Genomic DNA, 12,034 nt, shown 5'->3' on the forward strand with positions numbered 1-12,034 from the left:
AGAACCTTTTTAAAAAAATTAATTACTTTTTAAATTAGCTAAATGGAGCTAATTAACATATGAATTACCTCACATGCTTATCATTTCTTGTGAGGAGAAAACTTAAAATCGCTCTTAGTGGTTTTCAAGAATACAATACAAGAACCCATTTTAAAAATATATTAACAATGAAATTAACAATTGTAAACTAACATTCACAAGGAAGTGAAATAGTATAGCTCATTAATGGACCAAGAGCTTACTTAGAGATCTGAATTCTAATCTTGCTTTTGCTATTTATTAGTGTAAGTCATTTTCTGATCAGTGGACCAAAAGGCTAGAACAGAGGATCTGGGGCCAATTCTGACTGTGATGTTTATGATTGTGACTTTATAAGGGAACCAGGTGGGGAGAATTAATATAGGACTATTTCTGAAGGTAGATGAAAATAATCTGACGGCCAGAGATGCAGGAGGAAGGAATTTTAAGGAAGGAAAGCATGAACAAAAGATGTTCAGGCTTTTATTCTTGTTTAAGTTATTTGATGTTCACTGTACACTTTTGCAGATAATCTCATTTAATTCTCTTATGTGAAATAGGCAAGGCTGCTATGATGATTATTCCCATTTTGTAGGCAATGTTTCTGAGGTCTCATGAGATCACTGTGTTTCAACAAATGGTACATGTTTTAGACTAAACCCCATGGAATTGTGGAATACTACATTTTGAAACTCATTTGGTCCAACCACCATCTTTCTTCTTGTCCTGTCTTCTTTCTACTATACCACCTTCTGTTTTGTGAATATTTTCCCCCGTTTTTCATAGTCAGACAAACATTATCCAGTAATTAGATGACATTTTGCTTTTTCATCACTCCTTAGTTTAAGTAAGTTTATGAAATTAGATATATAGATTAATTGCATAATTCAGATTCTATGACTTTTTAAAACTACAAATAATAGCATATTTAGATTAACTGTTGGAGAAAATTTTGTATTATGAAATTGCACTATAAGCATGTTTTAATTGATTAACTCTATAGAGAGCTCCATATTAATACAGAAATTAAAATCTATTTAAGAGCCTGTTTTTCAAATTAAAAGTGGTGAAGGGAGCTTAAGGAAAAGAAGTGTTTTCATCTCTCTGTGTCTGTGTCTGTTTAAATGTCATTTAAACATTTTAGTTAACATACTTTGTAATAAATTTTCCCACATAAAATTTTCTTCAAAATTTTTCAAAGCAGAAATTATTCTTTCTGTCAACTCTAATCTCTTAACTATTCATTTTTATATGATTAGTTGGGAGTTGGGGTGGTGAGCATCTTCCCCCCTCAAGATACAGGGTGTAAGTTTGAGGTGTCCCACCCTGCAGTAGGGAAATCTGTAGAATAGGAGATTGCAGCTCTGAAACCAGGCCGGTATTCTGGGCCCATAGGGGCCTAGAGGAAAAGAAAAATGGATACATTTAGATTTTCGATATATGGGTACTATTGTCAGACAGACCTGGATTTAAACCCTAGATCCTCTACCACTGACTAGTTTTGTGACCTTTAGTAAATTACTTAATCTCTTTAACCATCTGTAAAATGGGGCTAATAATTCCCACCTCATATACTTTAATTTGGGAAGAGAAGAAGAGAGGGTTAGCAATGCTATTTGAAGCACAGTGCCTAGCACAAAGAATATACTTAATACTTGGCCAGGCACAGTGGCTCATGCCTGTAATCCCAGCACTTTGGGAGGCTGAGGCGGGCAGATCATGAGGTCAGGAGATCAAGACCATCCTGGCCAACATGGTGAAACCCTGTCTCTACTAAAAATACAAATATTAGCTGGGCGTGGTGGCGCATACCTGTAATCCCAGCTACTTGGGAGGCTGAGGCAGGAGGATCGCTTGAACCCCGGAAGCGGAGATTGCAGTGAGCTGAGATCACACCACTGCACTCCAGCCTGGTGACAGAGTGAGACTCCATCTCAAAATATATATATATATACTTAATAGCAGCAGTAGTTGTTGTTTTATAATGCTACTTCTTAAACCTTTTTATATCTTGTTTCCCTTCTAAAATGTACATTTTTTGAAAACATGAACTTTGAAATTAAAGCATTTAATAAATATTTGGTCACTGATAAATATTCTCATGCTCAAGAGGCTCTTCTATATCTTTTTTTGTTGTTGTTGGTAAGTAGTTCCTCGGGGATGCACTTATCTTTTGCTTGAGTAACATTTTAAAAAGTGATTCTGTGCAGTATAGGTGGCATATTTGAAGAATAATAGCATGCATTTATTTCAATACTCTTGTGATGTAGCTTCTAAGTTATAGGGGTCATAAAAATTAACTAGTTTCATAGTATGCAAATTATTATGAGAATTTAGTGCTTCAAGTTGGTAATTCAACAGACTTCTTTTAAATGATATATCATTTTTTGAAAGAAAAGGTGTTTCTAAAATACTATTTTCAGTCAATAGAAGAGTAAGATTCTTACTTATAAAACTTTAGTTTGTATTAAACTTTTCAGGAATACATCTTTTGCTAACCATATTATATCATTGCTAGGTTTTATGTAAATTTGTTAACTTGTTATTTAGGAATACTGTTTATTTCCCCCCTCATGATTATATTGTACATTCTTTGCAGAGCATGAAGGGCAAAAGCAAAAGTAGTCATGACTTGCTTAAGGATGATCCACATCTCAGTTCTGTTCCAGTTGTAGAAAGGTTAGTCCATTGTTGGTATGATCCTAAGTTCTTAATTTTCTGGCTCAGATAATTTTCTTGCTTCTTCTGTGAGTAAACAGTCAGTCCTCATAAGTCAAAAATTTTTAAGCCAGCCAAAAAAATAAAGCATTTTGATAACAGAGATAGAGAACTTCAAGCTTGATAGAGAGAAACAAACGCTCTAGTCACTTTCGCACTTGCTCTCTACCTCTGTTGAATGAATTACATTTAAAATTGTTTTACCATTACATGTTAGGACTAGAAACTGTTTGCTTTAACAGTGTAATGCTTAATTCAAGGTTGTTTTGCTACCTTTTCCTTGAAGCATTTTTGCCTTAATTGTATCATGAATGAACAAATTACAGTTAAAGGTTTTTGTGAAGAAGTTACCAGTTTGGGGGCCAGTCCACTGACTATAAATTCTCACATACTTTGAGGAGTTAACAGAAAGTTGTCTTGCTACCTTTGTTGCTTCTCTTTGAGAAGGGAAAACGTCTTGGTGTTAGATGTAATAGCACAAGATAAACTGGGCCAGTATCTCAAGGGGCACTACAATGCTGTTGTACTCAGTTTAGCTCATTTTCGAAACTCCTGTTTTAAGACAATCTTTTCTTAATACCCTTCTATTTGAAGGATTTGGGGGTTTTTTTAGTCAGAATATTTCAAGCCAATAAAAGAAATTGTTTTTTGCAGACCATTGATCATAAAAATAACACTGTCGGTTGTTGTTTGCTTTTTTCCTTTCAAATTCTAGTGAACGCATATATTTGCTAATGAATCATACTTATTCCACTTATAAAAAATGACTCTAAAGAATGTTTCCATCTGTTCTATAATGCCTTTCTTAAATTCCTATGTTGAAATACATTTTTGGAATGTTATTCCCAGCAAACTATTCTAGATTTTTGGGTTACAAAATAATTGTGTTAGTTTTACCTTGAAACTAAAATTTGTTTTGCTTATTTTTTTTATAGTGAAAAAGGTGATGCACCAGATTTAGTTGATGTAAGTATTTATTTTGGTATTAATATAGTTTGAACAATTCATAGAAAGTACAAAATTTTTACAAAAACTTAATTTTGTTCTTAAAAAGTAACGTATATTACTTTTATAGTTATATATGTCAAATTTTGGAAAAATATGAAAAACAGAAATTATTTAGGTGTTAGACTATTTCCTTACTCTAGGGGTGTGCGTGTGTGTGTGTGTATATCTCTCTACAACATTAGAATCTTATATATGAATTTCTAGTCTGTTTTTTTCTCCCCCTCACATAACATTACGTTAATACTCAAACTTCAGATGTTATAAATTTATTGTATTAAAAGTTTAAATATTGGTGTGTGGGCATCCTACATGATATATGGGAAATGCTTGGATCAGTAATTTATAGTAGTGTCTCCTTTTTATATACACATTTCAAAAGATTCTCATTCAAGAGTGTAGTGATCTTTATTAGTTGTAGTGGCTAACAAAGCTAACAAAACAGAAGGAAGATTTTCCTTTAATACATAAGAGTCAAGTTTTTCAAATTATACATATGCCACTTTTTATATAAAAACCCATTAATCTGTGCATTGTATAATTTACTAGGAAGTACATAACTTTCCATGCATGAACACAGATTTATCTATTATCACAGTCAAAAGAGAAGGCTCTCTATGGCTATCAGTAGTAGATAGAGAGAGGATGAATATCTGACCTTGTCAAGAAAAGCTTCCTGGAAGAGATGATGCTATTTATGTCTTATATGAGAGTTAGGAGTTAGCTAAGTCAGAAAAGAAAGTGATGAAGGGGGTGAGGTCCCTCTAGCTCAGAGAATAGCATATGCTAAAGCATGGAAATAAGGAGAGATCATACCTTATTTAGGAAATACAAACGGAAATTTAAAGTTTCAAGGAGTCTGTCTTGTGAAGAGCAAGGAAGAAGAGTATTGAAGGTAAGGGGAACTGCATATACAAAATGGTCCGAAGCAGGAGAGTTTGGTGTGTTCTAAGAGCTGCAAGCAGGCCAGCGTGAACAGGGTGTGGTGACAGGCCAGAGCTTCATTACAGAGCTTCATAGGCCATGGTGAGGGGTTTGAGTTTTTTCCTAAAAGGAAGTGAGGAACAGTTGAAAGGTGTTTGTTAAAAAGAAGGATGCTATGATCAATTTTGCATTTCAGGAAGATCACTATTGGCGATATTATAGAGGACAAATTAGAGGAAACAGACTGATACTGGGAAGCTATTGTAGGAGGAGAGCTTGATATAAGACCACAGCTGTGAGATGGGAAAGAGGTAGATTTGAAAGAGGTCTAGGAGGTGACTGATTCTACACTATGAGGTGAGGGAGGAGTAGTCCAAGACAACCACAAGGTTTCTGGTTTGAGCAACTTGTTAGATGGGTGCAAAAGAAAGCATAGGGTTGAGGTGGAGAAAAGGATGAAAAATAATGAGCTTAATTTTATACATTTCAAGATTGAGGTAATTTGGAGACATCTGTGTAACATAATATGGGTCTAGAAGTTAGGATCAATGTATAGGATAGAAAGTAAAAGTATAGATTTGCTCTTAATATCATGGGTGAGTGACTAAAACTGTGAATCCTTTCCCAGGAAAATGTACTACATTCACAACCAAAATTATATGAATTTGCAGGGAATTTTTTTTAGATCTCCTGAGGCCTGAGCATGGAAGGCCTAGGTTGGTGGTTGTCACCTTTTAGTGCTTAAGAATTACTTAAACATCTTGTTGAAAACATTCGTAATTCCTACCCCAGAGATTTTGGTTCAATAAGTCTGCAATGAGGGCTAGAATTTTAGGTGTTAATAAACAACTATGTAATACCATCTAAGGACCAGACTTTGAGGACCAGTGCTTTAGGGGTCCACAAGTCTCAAATTAAGAATCCTGCTTCACTACGACTCACCAGATCAAAGAAAGAATCACAAAAGAAAAATGATCCACTTGGGGTTATTTCTTCCTTCTTCTCTCCCCTCTTTCTTCCCTTTGTTCCTCCATCTGTCAATGCTGGGCACTATTCTAGGAGTTGAAGATACAGCAGTAAGCAAAACAGGCCAGAATTTTAGCTCTCATGGAGTGTTTGCTGTAATTGGATGACAGACAATACACATGCAAATAATTAAAATATATGGTGTATCAGATAGGTGATAAGTACTTTGGAAAATAAGCCAGGGAAGATGAAAGAGTACTGGAGGTAAGTGTGTGGTTCTACCATTTTAATAGGTTAATCTCATCACCAAGAGGGTAACATTTGAGCAAAGATCTGAAGGAGATGAAAGAGCAAGCAATGAAGAGATATCTGGAATAGAGTATTTGTTTCAGGCTGGAGAGAACAACAACTCCAAAGTTGGCTAGTGTTGGTGGGCTGGAGTTGTAGGAGATTATGTCAGGGAGGTTTAGATTGCATAGGGCCTTGAGTGAGTTGGGGACCCACTAGAGGGTTTTCACAAGAGAAGTGATTGCTGTGACTTGGATTATAGAAATCTCAGCTTCTGCACTACACCTCTTCTACTTGAATTGATCCCTGTTGAGGTCAGTATGCTGGCCAACTGCCTTCAAAAGCCACATTTCCCACTGAGATAAGAATAGGAATATAGACAGAATAGCCCGAGTGACACAGAGGGAGAAGTCTGCTGCACAAAGGAGCTGGGCATGAGTTGAGCGAACAGCCTTTCCTGGGGTATCCCATAATTACATAGTTGGCTTAGAGCAGAACCCAGGGCTATTCCCACCTGTAGCAGATTCTTCAAGGGCTTATAATTCAAAACAAAAGAAAACAAAATAAAAAAAAAAACCTAGTTTAGAATGCAATAAGGAGATTCAGTGGATGCAATAGATCTCTAGAAATGAAAGGGGAAATTGAGCACCTGGCAAATACTCATTTTCCATTTCTACAGGATGGAGAAGATGAAAGTGCAGAGCATGATGAATATATTGATGGTGATGAAAAGAACCTGATGAGAGAAAGAATTGCCAAAAAATTAAAAAAGGACACAAGTGCGAATGTTAAATCAGCTGGAGAAGGAGAAGTGGAGAAGAAATCAGTCAGCCGCAGGTGAGTCAGTTACTGTGCTAGATATCAGAGTTTTTGTCTTTTTATATTTCACTTTAATTCAGATTGAATCCTCTCTTCAGCTAATTTTTAAAATACTATTTTCATAATGTTTGATAAACATAACAGTTGTACAAATTGGCCCATTAGCAGGCCTAAAATAAAATACACCAAGCTTAAAGTAAACATAACAATGATCCTATGAGTTCAATTCCATTTTATTTCTCTCTGATCCTTTTTTAGAAAGGCTCTATACTTTCATATATATAGGGTAATAATGTATTAGCTAGATGTGGAAGAATGCATTTGTTAAATACCAATGAGAGCAGTAGAGTAATTGTATAGAAAGAAAAGAGACATCCTCAAATAATTTCGGTAAGCAAAATTTGTCAAAACTGATGAAGAAAATGAGTGAGCCTGAAAACATTCTTAAATATCTTTTCAAGTCTGATTTACCAAATACCATATACCTATCCTAAGCTCAGTAGTATCATAAAATAAATTTCAGCAAATGGTGAAAAGTTTACTGTCTGGTGATGAAAGTTTGTTGGATTTATGACTCAACATTTTATTCTCCTGAAATTCAACTTAATTGAAAAATTATCTCTTTTGTGATTCTATTTCAACTTTATAGTATACATTTTAAATAATATTGCTTTAAAAAACAATAGTATTTGTTTTCTTCAAATACTATTTGGGGATAATATGAATGTAACTACATTTAAATAACATTCTTTTTCCCTATCATGTTTCTCAACCACATGTAGAAAAACTTAAAAAGGATTTCCACGCTATCATTGCATAGCTCCCTCAATTTTTTCTTTATGTAATCAAATAAAAATGATTCCCAGAAATTTCCACTAAAAGCATAGCTTTTAACATTTAGAAATGGTACTTAGGAGTCATCTTAAATGTCTTTTTTCCAGCAATATTCACCTGACACTCAAGTAATCACTGTTGAATAATTTTACATACTAGATTATATTATATATACCATACATAGTAGCTAATATAGACTAAAGATTTTAGTGATCATATGCATGCTTCTAGATTCATAGAGTTGAAAAACCTCTCATTCACACTGTAACTTTTAGTTAAATCATGAATATAATTATGGATACATAATGTTTTATTCCTCTCATTCAAGGCATGTGTTTTCTGATTTTAAAAAATTATGAATTTTTTTAAAGGTTAGGTTTATAATGTAACAAAAATATATTTAAAAATTTTAATAGATGAGCCAACCAAATATTTATTTATGTTAGATTTAAGTGTTCCTTAAACTCCCAACTCAGTCTTGTAGGCTTTAATCAATTTCAAATACTTATATACCCTATAATATAAACTATAATTTAGCAATGCTAAATTTTGTATAAGAACTAAAGTTCATTTTTAATGTACCTTTCATAAGTGTCTTTAAAAAATTGTTTACCTAATATTAAGAAAAGTCAAAGTTTGCATTTTCCAAAATTGTGTTCACTCTTACAATTAAGGGTTATTCTTAAAAGATTTCCTTGGCTGTAGTATGGGCCTGATGACCAAACATGGCATTGATAGCTAGATTTAGGAATCTGATCTATCATGAGAATACTGGAGAGCCACTGAAGTTTTTACAGGCAAATGATATATTGAGATTGTATTTAGTATGGAGAATGGATTGATAGAGGAGTGTTTTGGGCTATTATACAAAATACCATAGACTGGATGACTTAACAGACATTTAAAGCTTAGTTTTTATGGTAATTTCTTACATAGGAACATATATATCCACTTACTTATGTAAACAATTTTTCTCTTTTTATAAATCAGTATAATTTGCAAAATTAAAATCACATAATTTGTATATTCACTGTAGAGGAAAAAGTTATATTCAAGTGCATTGCAAGTCTACTAAGAAAATTAAATAAATTTAAAAAGTACGTTAAATACTTTTCTACTTAGAAAAGTAAATTAAATAAGAAGTCTCCAAAGGTGGCTTGAATATTTTAGGTAAACATGAGTATTGTGGACATTGTTGGATTCTTTTAGGTAAAATAATTGGCAAAGTGTGCCTTTGTAAATGGTGCAGACAGCACACATTTATTTATAACTGTTCTGTTCCCCCACATTTTCATTATTCACATTCTCTACTCTCCCTCCTTCATCCTATCTGTCCTACCTACAAAGAGAAACAAAAGAAAAATAAGGTCAGGATAGAGGAGAAAGTACAGAATTTCAAAAGGAAGAAACAGTTTTTTCCTCTAGTGTAGAAATTTCCATGATTGTCTCATGACCACGTATTTTTTTCAGTTCATAAAGTTGCCAAAATCAGACCCTGGCATGGTGGCTCATGCCTGTAATCCCAGCTGCTCAGCAGGCTGAGGTGGGAGGATTGCTTGAGCCTAGGAGCTCTAGGCTGCAGTGAGCTATGATCCTGTATGGGCAACAGAGCAAGACCCTGTCTCTAAAAAAATAAAAATAAATTTTAATAAATTTCCAAATCATTAGTACTTTTGGTTATTTATACCAGCGAGTCTCTGAAGTTAACTTTATGGTTAAAAAATAAAACAACACAGGAAAGCTCCAAATGTACTGAAAAACTACAACGTGGTAAAAGGGATAATTATATTTAAAGGAAAGTCACTGCTCAGTTTGAGTTATAATGGGTATAGCTGCCAGCCAGATAGGATGTCAGTGTGATATCATTATCTATTCAAAAATGTGTACTCTTGATACATGAGTTTTCATCAGGGTGTGCTTGAAGTACTCTATTATCCTTTGGTCATTCTTCCATTTAAGCAGTAGGATCAGAAACTAGACTAGCCCACCAGCCCTTTAAGCAATGAGCCGTTCAAAGTATAATTTTACTGAAAACGTGTGGTATTGCTTCTATTGGTAAGGAAACATCTGGAATCTGTTAAAGCTGGTTATCACTTTTGGATGTTAAACCTACACATGTATTTATTGAGTGCTTAATATTTAAACTGGGGAATGATATTTAACAGAATAATTTTCAACAAGTTTACATATAGTAGGATCTTCTCCTAGTAATGTGTTCTCAACAATGTCTCTAGTTGTTCATTTGAAAAAAGAGCTCAGGGGAAATACAAATCCAAAACGCTTCCTAGTTTCTCTCCTTAGAGAATCGGCACCCTTATATCTATTCTGACTTCCTAGGATTTCTAATCCCTTGTCTCTTCCCTTTTTAAAATGTACCAATCCCACTTTCTTTCCAGCCCACCTTCTCTATGCCTGTATCTTGACTACTGGATACAGCTCAGCAGAATCACACAGGCATATACAAGCTGGTATTATTATGGATTTCTAGATTCCAGCCTCAGCTGTGTCTCCAGTGCTTCCTTATTACTCACTCGCCACAATGTTTACTTCACACTTCAAACTCACTCAACGGATCACCTGGCTGCTTGTTTTTTTATGAAATGAGAGTAAATTTCTTCAACCCGTATTTCTTTCTCTTCCCCGCTTCGAGAGTAAAAACTAACAAAACCATTCCATTTTATTTCCTGTCCCTACCTCCTTCCTATTTATTTCTAAATACATATCATCTAGCTTCTCACCTACCACTCCACTGAAACTACTTCCACTAAGGCCATCTAGTTGATAATCGACTGGCTACTTTCCATTTTTTTTTCTTGGTCTTCCTGCTCTGGAGATTTTTGTCTCTTTTCTCTTGAGACTAATCTCTCTCAAGAACCTTACTATTTAAAGTGTGATCTGTGAAGCAGTAGCATTAGTATCACTTGGGAACTTGTTAGAAATACCGAGTCTCAGGCCCTGTCCTACACATTTTTAATTAGAATCTGCATTCTAACAAGATCCCCAGGTGATTTTTGTGTGCATTAGTTTGAGAAGCAGTCCTGTAGAATATTAATTTTTATCCCTACTGCTCCTGGATGAGTTCAAGTTTGTATCATGTTAGTTCCAAGGTCAGCAAGTTGTCAGCAAGTTGGTACTATATTCCCTGACTCCTTAGTGCAAACCTATGTGCACCCTTTTCACACTCCTGTAATATTAGGTTACATATACATTTTTTCTTCTTTGTGTATCCTTATACTGTAACTTTCTTGAAGGTAGTGATCATATCCATTTACATTTGTATCTCCATGTTCAAACAGCGTAGGTACCCAAATATTTTTGTAAATACATGAACAAAAAATGAATAAATTCTTCTTTGGCAAATCACTTTCTCCTCTGGATCTTGTAAGTAGCTTGCTTGTATTTTCAATAGGGATTTATTGATTCGCCTCTCCTCTGCCTAAACTAAGCTCTTTAGAGACTATGTCTTATTTATCTTTATATCCTCAGAGGCGGCTAATATCTTAAGCATATAGTAACTGGTCATTAAACTTTGTGGAATGAGTGGATAAATAAAATATTTAATTAATTATGTTCCATTATAGGAGTGGTTTTCACTCCTAACCGCACATTAGGCTCACGGAGGAGGCTTTGAAAAATACTAATTCGTAGGCCCCTCACCCACAGATTCAGAATTGTCTGGTCTGAGGTAAAGTCTGGGAAGATCCTTCTTTAACTTTTAAACTTTTAATTTAAGTATAATATACAAACAATGTGTCTATTAACTATATTTCATAGTGCACATAAGTATACAGCTAGCTGAATTTTTACAAACTAAATATATCCATATACCCATCACCCAGATCAAGAAACAAAAAATTGCCATTACCCATAAATTCACCTCTTGCCCCATTCTAGTTACTTCCCCCTCATCTCCTAATAGTAACCACTTTTCTAACCTTTAAAACAATATTATTTTTAATTGACAAATAGTAATTGTATATATTTATAGGTTACTATGTGATGTTTTGCTGTATGTATTCATGGTAGAAAGATTCGATCAGGCTAATTAACGTATTTATCCACTTCAGCAACTTACCTTTTTTGTGTGTGGTGAAAACATTAAAAATGTATTCTTTTAGCAATTTTGAAGTACATTAACTGTGGTAAGCATGCATTACAAAGCTTATTCTTTTTTTTTGTTTTTGAGACGCAGTCTCGCTCTGTTGCCCAGGCTGGAGTGTAGTGGCACAACCTCAGCTCACTGCAACCTCTGCCTCATGGGTTCAAGCGTTTCTCCTGCCTCAGACTCCTAAGTAGCTGGGACTACAGGAGCGTGCCACCACGCCAGGCTAATTTTTTGTATTTTCAGTAGAGACAGGGTTTCACTGTGTTAGCAAGAATGGTCTCGATCTCCTGACCTCGTGATCCACCCGCCTCTGCCTCCCAAAGTGCTGGGATTATAGGCGTGAGCTACTGTGCCAGG

General features: G+C 34.7%; 1 protein-coding gene across 5 annotated transcripts in view; it reads left to right on the forward strand.

The window, feature by feature from the left end:
- CWC27 (CWC27 spliceosome associated cyclophilin) overlaps window positions 1-12,034 on the forward strand; it is a 249,846-nt gene that overhangs the window by 28,713 nt on the left and 209,099 nt on the right. For 4 of the 5 annotated variants that reach the window (NM_001297644.1, NM_005869.4, NM_001364478.1 and 1 more), the window contains exons 8-10: window positions 2,618-2,697; window positions 3,672-3,702; window positions 6,599-6,756. In NM_001297644.1, the coding sequence (NP_001284573.1) occupies window positions 2,618-2,697; window positions 3,672-3,702; window positions 6,599-6,756 (269 nt within the window). Of the gene's footprint in view, window positions 1-2,617; window positions 2,698-3,671; window positions 3,703-6,598; window positions 6,757-9,968; window positions 10,936-12,034 lie in introns of those variants that run through there. The other variant, NM_001297645.2, reaches the window with a different exon arrangement.

This window comes from Homo sapiens, chromosome 5 (assembly GCF_000001405.40).
Source record: "Homo sapiens chromosome 5, GRCh38.p14 Primary Assembly".
Taxonomy (NCBI): domain Eukaryota; kingdom Metazoa; phylum Chordata; class Mammalia; order Primates; family Hominidae; genus Homo; species Homo sapiens.